The sequence below is a fragment of the Homo sapiens genome, chromosome 17 (genome assembly GCF_000001405.40).
Source record: "Homo sapiens chromosome 17, GRCh38.p14 Primary Assembly".
Taxonomy (NCBI): Eukaryota; Metazoa; Chordata; class Mammalia; order Primates; family Hominidae; genus Homo; species Homo sapiens.
The window spans coordinates 48,665,965-48,678,694 of NC_000017.11; the positions used below are offsets into that span (position 1 = coordinate 48,665,965).

General features: G+C 44.1%; 1 long non-coding RNA gene across 5 annotated transcripts in view; it reads left to right on the top strand.

The window, feature by feature from the left end:
* LINC02086 (long intergenic non-protein coding RNA 2086) overlaps window positions 1-12,730 on the top strand; it is a 64,720-nt gene that overhangs the window by 23,338 nt on the left and 28,652 nt on the right. The window contains exon 5 of one of the 5 annotated variants that reach the window (NR_189648.1): window positions 5,176-5,294. The exons of the other annotated variants lie outside the window; for them this stretch is intronic. This is a non-coding gene — a long non-coding RNA (long intergenic non-protein coding RNA 2086). The remainder of the gene's footprint in view (window positions 1-5,175; window positions 5,295-12,730) is intronic. 5 annotated transcript variants of the gene reach the window in all.

Genomic DNA, 12,730 nt, shown 5'->3' on the forward strand with positions numbered 1-12,730 from the left:
TTTTCTTATGCAGTGCTTCTGCAGTGTATAATCTGCTGTTAATTCCTCCTGTGCATCTTTCATTTTTAGATCATAAACTTTTCATCTCTTGAAGTTCCATTTTGGGTCCTTTAAAAATATATTTCTTTTCTCTCTTCATCATATTTATGTTTTTCTTTATATCCTTGGGCATAATTTATGAGATTTATAATGGCTATTTTAAGGTCCTCACCTACTAATTTCATCATCTCTGAATATTGTGGTCTGTTTCTATTGCTTTAGTTATCTACTGGTTATGGGTAATTTTTTCCTATTTATTTGACTACCTGGCAATTTTTTATTGGATGCTGAATATTGTGTATTTTGGGTTGTTGGGTGCAAGACATTGTTATATTCTTTTAAAGAGTACTAGAGAAAAATACAAAAATTAGCTGGGCATGGTGGCTCATGTCTGTGGTCCCAGCTACTTGGGAAGCAGAGGTTGCAGTGAGCCGAGATCATGCCACTGCACTCCAACTTGGGCGACAGAGTGAGACTCTGTTTCAAAACAAAACAAAACAGAAAAAACAAACACTCAAACAAAAAAACAGAGTGCTGAACTTTGTCCTGGCATATAATTAGTTACTTGTGATTTGTTTTCTTCTTTTAAGTCTTGCTATTAAGTTTTGTTAGGAAAAGCCCAGGTTGGCCTCTACTCCAGAGATATTAATAATTTAGCCCCACTAAGTCTCTATCCTTCTGAAGACTCTACCCAATACCTGTGTGTTATGAGGTCTCTTTACTCTGGTTGATGGAAACACAAACTATGCCTAGCCCTGTGTAAACTCCAACACTTGTTCGGCCTCCTGCTTTCTGGTTTTACTTTTTCCAACCTTCTGGAATTTCACCCCACACCTGTGTAGATCAGTCCCCAAAGACTTGAGGGAATCTCTAATGGTCTATGAGGCTTTGTCGCTTTCTCTCTGTCTCTCCCCATGCAGCTCTTGCTTCTCCAGCACTCTCTCCCACAAATTCTAGCTGTCTTCATGTCCTTGAACTCTAAACCCTGTCTCCTAAACTCAGTGAGACCACGGGGCTCTGTTTGGGTACTCCATGTAGCACTCTCTTCACTGTCTCCACGTAGTAAGCTGGGGCTCTGGTGAGGCTGAACTTATTTTTCTTTTCTCAGAGATCTTAGTCTTGCATTGCCTGCTGTCTAATGTGTGAAAACAGTTGTTTCATATATTTTGTTTAATTTACTAATTTTGGGTGTGTGTGGTGGGGGAAGCCATCTCTACAACAGTTTATCCTTCATGTGCAGAAGTGGAAGTCCCACAGTGATCCCTTTAAAATACATGGCTAGGCCAGGTGCAGTAGCTCACGCCTGTAATCCTAACACTTTGGGAGGCCAAGGCAGGTGGATTGCTTGAGGCCAGGAGTTCCAGACCAGTCTGGGCAACATGGTGAAACCCCGTCTCTACTAAAAATACAAAAATGAGCCAGGCATGGTGGTGTGCACCTGTAGTCCTAGCTACTCCGGAGGCTGAGGCACAAGAATCACTTGAACCTAGGAAGTGGAGCTTGCAGTGAGCCGAGATCGCACCACTGCACTCTAGCCTGGGCAGCAGAGTGAGACTCTGTCTCAAAATAAATAAATAAATAAATAAATAAAATAAAATACATGGCTAAAATCCAACCATGTACTTAACATTTCAAATGAAGTACTGAAATGGCTCTATAATTCAAACTTTCAGATATATCTAGCTTTATTATTACTATATATATATTTTTTGAGACAGAGTCTAGCTCTGTTGCCCAGGCTGGAGTGCAGTGGCATGATCTTGGCTACTGCAACCTCCGCCTCCTGAGTTCAAGCAATTCTCCTGCCTTAGCCTCCCGAGTAACTGGGATTACAGGCGGGCACCACCATACCCGGCTAATTTTTCATATTTTTAGTAGGGACAGGGTTTCACCATGTTGGCCAGGCTGGTTTTGAACTTCTGACCTTAAGTAATCCACCTGTCTTGGCCTCCCAAAGTACTAGGATTACAGGCATGAGCCACCGCGCCCAGCCTAGATGTATCTAGCTTTATATTTAAAATTCACAGGCTTCACCTACTTAAGTGTATATTTAATTGGTTTGAAGATGATTTCGTCTCTGGAAGGTTTTCCCAAGAATCTTTTACCAAGCCAGGGAAGAAAGAGCTTGGGACATTGGAGGAAGAGGAAGCAGGCTAGATGTGACCAGAGCAGAGGAAGAGAGGAGAGTGGTGTAGGATGAGATTGGAGAGCCAGGTAGAACCCAGATGATGCCGGGCCTGGGATGTCAGAGTGAGAAGTTTGGATTTTATTCCAAGTGTAACGGGAGGTCACTGAAAGGTTTTAAGCAAGAGAGTGACATGATCTGATTTTAAAGATCACATTGCTGTATGAATAATGGTTTCTAGGGGGCAACGGCAGAAATAGAGACCATTTAGGAAGCTGCTGTTGTAGTCAAGGTGGACAAATAGTGACTTGAATAAAGGTTGTGACGGCAGAAGTGTTTAGGGACTAGCGGTGTTCGAGTATCTACTGTGTTTGTCAGCTCGAAACACATGACAGAGAAATAACAGATGAATAAGAGAAATAGATCCTGGCCCTGTGGGGCTTCCAGACAAATGGAGTGGTTAATTCTTTTTTTTTTTTTTTTTTTTTTTTGAGACAGAGTCTCACTCTGTCGCCCAGGCTGGAGTGCAGTGGCACGATCTCGGCTCACTGCAAGTTCCGCCTCCCGGGTTCACCATTCTCCTGCCTCAGCTTCCCCAGCAGCTGGGACTATAGGCGCCCGCCACCATGCCCAGCTAATTTTTTTTGTATTTTTGGTAGAGACGGGGTTTCACTGTGATAGCCATGATGGTCTCGATCTCCTGACCTTGTGATCTGCCTGCCTTGGCCTCCCAAAGTGCTGGGATTACAGGTGCGAGCCACTGCGCCCGGCCTGTAGTGGTTAATTCTTAATACTTTGGGGGTCACAGACTCCTTTGAGAATCTTACCTAAGCTACAGAACCTCACCACAGAAAAAAGCACATAATCACTTTTTTTATCATTTTATGAATATTTCACATTCATCATGATAATTTCACCTGGTCAAGTGGATATTAAACGATAAGTAAAGGCTCATATATGTGTGGAGAACTAGTGCATACAGAATTATGGAGAAATGATGGTGGATCAGTGGAGCAACTGGGGAGCTGCTGGGGCACAGGAGAGTGACAGGACAGGGGCTCAGCATGCCTCCAACCCAATCAGCAAAGCATCCACACTTCCACAGCACTGTGCTGGGTGGGAAAGCTTGTTCTTGCCCTGGCTGAAAGACAAGATGCAAGCGATATAGTGCTTCATCAATGTTGTAGACCGAACATTTATCTCTCTCCAAAATGTATATGTTGAAATAGAATCTCCAATGTGATGGTATTTGGAGGTGAGGCCTTTGAGAGGTAATTAGGTCATGAGCCTTCATGAATGGGATTAGAGCCTTCATAAAAGAGACTCCAGAGGGCTCCCTCACCCATCTGCCATGTGAGGATACTGAGAAGATGACCATCTACGACCCAGGAAGCAGGCTTCACCAGACACCAAATCTGCCAGCGCCTTCACCTTGTCCTTCTCAGCCTCTAGAACTCTGAGAAGTGTTTGTGGTTTAAGCTGCCCAGTCTAGGGTGCTTTTGCTATGGCAGCTCAAACTGCCTAAAGCAGTCAGTAACCTCAGGATAGGAGTGGGCTGCCAGGTGGAACCCTCCCGAAAGGTTTCTGGATGGAAGATTTGAGTCACTTAAATATATATCATGCATCATGTGTGCGTGAAGAGAGACAGAGAGAGGCGGGTGGGGCAGGAGAATATGTACTGCCTCGTTATGCATGCTCATATAGTCCTGATTTGTTATGCTGTCATGTGATACATAACAATGTTTGGGTCAACAATGAACCACATATATGGTAGTCATCCTATAAGATTATAATACCAGGCCAGGCACAGTGGCTCACGCCTGTAATCCCAGCACTTTGGGAGGCCTAGGCAGGCGGATAACCTGAGGTCAGGAGTTCAAGACCAGCCTGGTCAACGTGGAGAAACCCTGTCTCTACTAAAAATACAAAAATTAGCTGGGCTTGGTAGCGTGCGCCTGTCATCCCAGCTACTCGGGAGGCTGAGGCAAGAGAATCACTTGAACCCGGGAGGCGGAAGTTGCAGTGAGCCTAGACCCTGCCATTGCACTCCAGGCTGGGCAACAAGAGCAAAACTCCATCTTAAAGATAAAAAAGATTATAATACCGTATTTTCACTGTACCATTTCTATGTTTAGATACACAAACACCACTGTGTTACAGTTGCCTACAGCATTCAGTATACAGTACTCATCATGCTGGATGAGTCTGTAGCCTAGGAGCGACAGGCTACACCATATAACTTAGGTGTCTAGTGGGTTATACCATCTAGGTTTGTGTAAGTATACTCTGATGTTATCACAATGATAAAGTCGCCTAGCAATGCATTTCTCAGAATGTTTCCCTCTTGTTAAATGGCACATGAGTGTATTTCAGTTTCTTTCTTTCTTCTTTTTCTTTCTTTCTTTCCTTCTTCTTTCTCTCTCTGTTTCTTTCTTTTTCTTTTTCTTTTTTTTCATGGTCATTCTCTTTCACCCAAGCTGGAGTGCACTGGTGCAAACACGGCTTACTGAAGCCTCAACTTCCTGGGCTCAAGCAGTCCTTCCACCTCTGCCCCCCAAGTAGCTGGGACTACAGGCACACACCACCATGCCCAGCTAATTTTTTGTTGTTGTTGTTTTTGTAGGGATGGGGTTTCGCCATGTTGCCCAGGCTGGTCTTGAGCTCTTGAGCTCAAGCAATCTGCCCACCTTGGCCTCCTCCCAAAGTACCGGGATTGCAGACATGAGCCACCTCGCCCGGCTATTTCAATTTCTATAGTGCTAGTAAAAATCCACTAAATTGTTTATCCAACTCATCAATAAGTTCAACCCACAGTTTGAAAACCCTAGTCTAGATTTTTTTCTTTCTATTCCCTTCAGTATGAACATGAGAAAGGCTCATCATCATTCCATATTTGATATTTTGACATAAATCTGCTGGATTTAGTTAAATTACAGTTCTCCCAAATAATCAGGAGAAATTTGACTAGAACTATCTTGGTATTGCCCATGGTTGTTGCTTCTCTTTGACAGTAAACCAAAAAATTAAGCGCATGGTTATGGAGTCTGACCGCTTGAGCTGGCTGCCCCACCTGCCTCAGTTTCTTTATCAATATCTGGGACATCATCATCTTAATAGTAACTGCCTCTGGGTAAGCCATGTAAGACAAATTAACACAAGGCCTGGCACATAGTAAGTGCTCAAAAGATGTTGGCAACTATTTTTATTTATTTATTTATTTATTTATTTATTTATTTATTTAACTATGTATTTAGTGACGGAGTCTTGCTCTGTCGCCCAGGCTGGAGTGCAGTGGCTCACTGCAAGCTCCGCCTCCCTGGTTCACGCCATTCTCCTGACTCAGCCTCCCGAGTAGCTGGGACTACAGGCGCCTGCCACCACTCCCGGCTAATTTTTTGTATTTTTAGTAGAGATGGGGTTTCACCGTGTTAGCCAGGTTGGTCTCGATCTCCTGACCTCGTGATCCGCCCGCCTCGGCCTCCCACAGTGCTGGGATTACAGGCGTGAGCCACCGCGCCCGACCTATTTATTATTTTTTAAACTGTCAATGTTGTTGTCTTACAGCGGAGACCTGAAAGCAGCTTAGCCATGAGCAGCGCTCAAATAAGGAAAGAAATTCTTTGCAATAAATAGGGATCTTTGAAAGGTTTTACGTTGGACCCGCCTTACCGTGGACAGACACTAGAGGGTGCTCCTCGCTCAGAAAGCCGAGTGTTTCCAGGCCCGGGACCTCTGCCAGGAAGCGCTTCGACTGCCGGTTCTGAAACTCTCTCTTTGGGTCTGGTAATTTACTGGGGAGAACTGGCTGCTGCCTTGGTTCTGAAACTAAAGGCTTTTTACGGAAGTAGGAGGAGACTGCAAGAGGCTATATGGAGCAGAAATGTGGCTCCTTCAAACTTTCACCAATTGGCGTTCTGCCGGACTGTGACTTGGAGGATTCCAGCAGTGTCTCATTCACCCATGAGCCCCAGGGTCTAGCACACATAGTGTCTGGCAGACAGTGAGCGCTTTGTAAATATTTATGGAATGGGACCAACCGATGGAGGCGTCTGAGACCTAAATAATTATAATTACAAATTGGCAAGTGCTGGCACGATGACCACAGACCATTAAGGGCGCTCCCAGAAGAGTGGGGGCTGGGGAGGATTGGCCAGAATGGCTTCCTGAAATTCAGGAGCCCTGGCACTCTCTGGGGTACACAGAAAAGATCTTCCACATCCGGCTTTTGGATATTTAAAAACAGCTTCATGCTCCATTTTTTTCATGTCCTTCCTGTGGAATGATTTCTAGGCTTTTCACTAAGTTGATCGCTCCCTGCAGACTTGTAGGAAGGCAAATAATAGGTTAGCACCTACTGGGTTCAAGCATCTCCTATGATCTCCATTATCTGATTTAATTGTGTCTTTATCTCATTTAATCCCCACAACAACTCTCTGAGACTAAGGCTATTATCCACATTCTACAGATTAGAACTTGGTAAGGTTTGATAACTGGCCCAAGATCACACCATTAGGGAGTGACAGGACCAGTATTTGAACCCAGATAGTCTAGCAGCAAAAGATGCTTTTAAAAATTTTCACTTAAAAGAATAACAACAACAGCAACTAACAGTATGGAGGGGGCCAGATAGTTTTCTGTGTTTTACATTTATTAACTCATTTAAGTCATTTAATTGCTATACACCTAGATGTCATCCTTTCTATTAATACATTGTTAGTACTGAAAAGTGAAGAGAATGATACAACAAACACCCATGTACTCATCACCTGGCATGAAAAAAAGGTTAATGTTAAAGTTGATATTATCCAGCCACAACAATCTTGAAAAAGAACAAAGTTGGAGAACTTGGCCCAGTGCGGTGGCTCATGCTTGTAATCCCAGCATTTTGGGAGGCCAAGGCGTGTGGATTGCTTGAGCCCAAGAGTTCAATACCAGCCTGGGCAACATGGTAAAAATACAAAAAATTTCTACAAAAAAAAAAGTTTCTACGAAAAAAATACAAAAATTAGCCTGGTGTGGTGGTGCTCGCCTGTGGTCCCAGCTACTCAGGAGGCTGAGGTGGGAGGATCACCTGAGCCCAGGGAGGTTGAGGCTGCAGTGAGCCAAGATAGCACCACTGCACTCCAGCCTAGGCAAAAGAGCAAGACCTTGTCTCAAAAAAAAAAAAAAAAAAAAGTTGGAGAACTTACACTTTCCAAGTTCAAAAGCTACAGTAATGAAAACAATGTGGTACTGGCATAAGGATCAACATGTACATCAATGGAATAGAATTGAGAGTCCAGAAATAAACCTGTATGTTTACGGTCAAGGTATCAAGACAATTAAATAAGGAAATAAGTTTTTTTCCCCACAAATAGTGCTGGGACATCTGGATAGCCACATGCAAAAGAATGAATTTGGACTCCTATCTTTTATTGTCTACAAAAATTAACTCAAAACGAATCAAAGACCTAAAGATAAGAACTAAAACTATAAAACTCTTAGAAAAAACATAGGTGTAAACCTCTATGACCTTGGATTAAGCAATGGTTTCTTACATACAACACCAAAAGCACAATCAACTGAAGAAAAAATAAATCAATTAGACTTCATCAAAATTAAAAATTTGAGTGTCAAGGCCCTATCAAAGTTAAAAGATAAATCACGGAATGGGAGAAAATTTTTGCAAATCATAGATCTGGAAAGGATCTTGTATCCAGAAGATAGAAGAGCTGTTTTTCTGTTGTTGTTGAGACAGAGTCTTGCTCTGTCATCCAGCCTAAAGTGCAGTGGCATCATCATAGCTCACTGCAGCTTCCACCTCGTGGGCTCAAGCAATCCTGTCACCTCAGTCTCCCGAGTAGCTGGGACTGTAGGTGTGCACCACCATGCCTGGATAACTAAAAAAAATTTTTTTTATAGACGAGCTCTCACTATGTTGCCCAGGATGGTCTTGAACTCTTGGCCTCAAGCGATACTCCCACCTCTGCCATCCAAAGTGTTGGGATTAGAGTGAGCCACCTCATCCAGCCTATAAGAACTCTTGTAATTTAATAATAAAAAGACAAATAACCCAATTTAAATTTGGGCAAATGACTGGAATAAGCATTTCTCCAAAGAAGATATACAAATGCCAAGAAGCACATGAAAAGATAGTCAGCATCAGCCAGGCATGGTGGCTCATGCCTATAATCCTAGCACTTTGGGAGGCCAAGGCAGGTGGATCACCTGAGGTCAAGAGTTTGAGACCAGCCTGGCCAACATGGTGGCACCTCGCCTCCACTAAAAATACAAAAATTAGCCAGGTGTGGTGGCAGATGTCTGTAATCCCAGCTACTCAGGAGGCTGAGGCAAGAGAACTGCTTGAACCTGGATGGTGGAGGTTGCAATGAGCCAAGATCGCACCACTACACTCCAGCCTGGGCAACAAGAGCAAAACTCCATATCAAAAAAAAAAAAAAAAAAAAGATACTCAGTATCATTAACCATTAGGGAAATGCAAATCAAAACTTTCAAACCCACTAGCATGGCTATAGTTTAAAAGACAATAACTAGTATTAGCAAGGATGTAGACAAATTGGAACCCTCATAAATCACTAGTGGGAATATAAATAGGTGCAGCCTCTGTGGAAAATGGTTTGGGAGGTCTTCAAAAAGTTCAATATAGAGTTACCGTAAGACCTAGAAATTCCACTGCTAGCTATATACCCAAAATAATTGAGAACATTATATATACTTGTACATGAGACCAGGAGCAGTGACTCACACCTATAAACCCAGTACTTGGGGAGGCCAAGGCAGGAGGATCCCTTGAGCCCAGGAATTTGAGACCAGCCTGAGCAACATAATGAGATCCTATCTCTACAAAATATAAAAAATCAGCTGGATGTGGTGGTGTATGCCTATAATTCCAGCTACTGGGGAGGCTGAGGTGGGAGGATCGCTTGAGCAGAGGAGTTGGAGGCTGCAGTGAGCTATGATCATACCATTGCACTCCAGCCTGGGTAACACAGCAAGACTCTGTCTCAAAAAAAAAAAAAAAAAAGGTGTAGCTGGATGCAGTAGCTCACGCCTGTAATCCCAGCACTTTGGGAGGCCAAGGCGGGCAGATCACGTGAGGTCAGGAGTTTGAGACCAGCCTGGCCAACATGGTGAAACCCTATCTCTACTAAAAATACAAAAATTAGCTGGAAGTGGTGGCGCACACCTGTAATCCCAGCTACTCAGGAAGCCAGGATGGGAGAATCGCTTGAACCCAGGAGGTGGAGGTTGCAGTGAGCCGAAATTGTACCACTGCACTCCAGCCTGGCCAATAAAATGAGATTCTGTCTCAAAAAAAAAAAAAAAAAGATACATATACATATACATGAATGCTCATAGCAGCATTATTTATAATGACCAAAAGGTGGAAATGTATCAGTCCATTCTCACACTGCTGTAAAGAATTGCCTAAGACTGGGTAATTTATAAAGGAAAGGGTTTTAATTGACTCACAGTTCCGCATTGCTGGGGAGACCTCTGGAAACTTACAATCATGGCAGGAAGCAAAGGAGAAACAGGCACCTTCTTCACAGGGTGGCAGGACGGGAGTGAGTGCAAGCAGGGGAAATGCCAGATGCTTATAAAACCATCAGATCTCCTGAGACTCACTCATTATCATGAGAACAGCATGGGGGAAACCACCCCCATGATCCAATTACCTCTACCTGGTCCCGCCCTTGACATGTGGGATTAATACAATTCAAGGTGAGGTTTGGGTGGGGACACAGAGCCAAACCATATCAGGGAACAACCCAGGTGTTTATCAGTCGACGAGTGGATAAACAAAATGTGGTCTGTTCATGCAGTGGAATATTATTCTACCATAAAAAGGAATGAAGTACTGATACAAGCTACAGCATGGATGAACCTTGTAAACACTATGCTAAGTGAAAGAAGCCAGTCACAAAAGGCCATATATTATATGATTCCATTTATATTAAATGTTCAGATAGGCACATTCATTGAGATCTGTGGTTGTCAGGGGCTAGAAGTAGGGAGTAATGAGAAATGACTGCACACAGGCACAGGTTCTGGAATTGGATAGTAGTGATTGTTGAACCGCCTTGTGAATCTGCTAAAAAACACTGAGTCATACATTTGTAAATGGTGAATTTTATAGTATATGAATTATAGCTCAATAAAAAAAGAGAGAGAAAAAAGTTGATATTTTCTTCATAGATAGCTCCATGGTTCTCAAACATTTTGGTCTCAAAACCCCTTTAGACTCTTAACAATTACTGAGGGCCCCAAAAAGCTCTTGTTTATGTATTTTGTTTTTGTGTGCTTATGTTCAATATCCATTGACATTTACCATGTTAGAAAGTAAAACAGAAATTTGTAAAAATATGCATTATTTCCTTTAAAATAGCATTAATAAACCATATGCTGTACATGTTATCATAAATAACAGTTGAAAAATAATTGTATTTTCCAAAACAAAAGAATTAGTGAGAAGAGTGACATTGTTTTGCATTTTTGCTGTCAAATGTCTGGCTGAGTAGAAGATAGCTGCATTCTCTTACCTGCTTCTACTTACATTCAATGTGTTGAGATATGTTGTTTTGGTTGAAATATATGAAAAAAGTCTGTCTTCACACAGATACGTGGTTGAAAAAAGGAAGACTATCTTAATAGCCTTTTCAAATAATTGTGGATATTTTTCTTAGATTACATACCAAAACTGGACAAGTATAGTTTCTTAAAGGTTAATTGCAATGTGGAACCTGAAACCATAAACTTTTCAATTGGTCTATCATGATCATGTACTTTTTTTTTTTTTTTTTCAGACAGAGTCTTACTTTGTCGCCCAGGCTGGAGTTCAGTGGCACAATCAGGGCTTACTGCAGCCTCAACCTTCCAGGCTCGAGTGATCCTCCCTGCTCAGCCCCTGGTGGGACTACAGGGATGCGCCACCATGCCCAGCTAATTTTTTTTTAGTAGAGATGGGTTTTTGCCTGCCTGCCTGCTTTCCTTCCTTCCTTCCTTCCTTCCTTCCTCCCTTCCTTCCTTCCTTCCTTCCTTCTTCAGGGTCTTCCTCTGTCACTCAAACTGGAGTGCAGTGGTATTATCTCAGCTTACTGCAACCTCCACCTCCCGGGTTCAAGCAATTCTCATGCCTCAGCCTCCCAAGTAGCTGGGATCACAGGTATGTGTCATGATACCTGGCTAATTTTTGTGTTTTTTCTAAAGATGGGGTTTCGCAATGTTGACCAGGCTGATCTTGAACTCCTGGCCTCAGGTGATCCACCCACTTCGGCCTCCCAAACTGTTGGGATTACAGGCGTGAGCCATCAAGCCTGACCTCAAGTTCCCTCTTTCTAATCTGGAATTGAGAATAGCACTAGCATCCAGGCCCACCTCAAAGGGTCAGACTGAAGTTCAGATGGCCCAAGGATGCACTAGAAAGTTCTTTATGCAATGTAAATGAGAGTTGCCTACTCTTGTCAGGCTCAAGTACCTTCACTCTACAGGCAACTGGCTACAGGCTTCTCACCCTGAGCGGTGGTCAGCTCAGCCAACTCACCCTCTCCACCCTCCTCCCTCCCTCCTTTTTCACAGGAAACTTAAGAGTCAGATCTCTTCCACTGCAAATGGAGATTCTTGATTTGGAGAGAATAAGATAAAGGACCTGACATCAATCCTTACTCTTGAAAGCATGTTGTTACTTTCTAAATATTATTGAAATTAAAAAAAAAAAATCTTCCCCCCAAATCAGTATATTTGAATTGCTAACAAGCCTCTCTGCCTTGTTTTTATCTCAAAGAATAAAATGCTGAGCCCTGCGTGGGATGCTAGATGCTAGAGAACTCCCCCATCTCTCTCTCTCTCTCTCTCTCTCTCTCTCTCTCTCTCTCTCTCTCTCTCTCTCAGTTCTGAACAAGGAGGGAAGGGGTAAAGAGTCCTTAGTGAGCGCCTTCTGCAGGGACAACCCTTCTGGACCCATCTGGATGGGAGCAGCCAGGAGAGGCAAGAAGCAGCTGTATTTGGTGGCACTGCCACAGCGTCTCCTCAGCCCCAGCAAGTGGCCTTTGGTCTAGAGTTGGTCCATCTGGCCCGCACAAGGCTCGAATCCAGCCCTAGAGACGCTCCCCGCCTGCTCCAGGTGGCCGGCACCCTAGACGGGGCAGGAAGGGCAGGCGCCAAGCCTCAAGTCTCAAACACGGTGCGGGGCTGCGCGGCAAGGAGAAACCCAGGAGATGCTCGGGGTCGGGGCCCAGGGCAGGGAAAACCCTCAGCTCTGGTCAAAAGCCAAGTGAGCGAAGGAGGCGATGCAACGTCACCCTGGTGGCCAAGGCAGGCACCCAGGTCTCGAGGTTCCAGGAGAGGGACGCGCTGTGACCACCAGCCCCCTAGGCTCCTGTCTGCTCGATGAGCGTCCACTCGCCAGTTCCAGCCGCGAGCGCCCCCAGCACTCCCGGAGCTGGGCCGGGCGCCGCCTTCCCTCGGGCGGCCGGCAGGGGTCAGTGTTTGGCCGCAGGTGAACAGACAGCGGCCGGGGCTGAATCTGGTTCTTCTAGCTGGGTCTTGCCCCTGCCAATCTGTCTG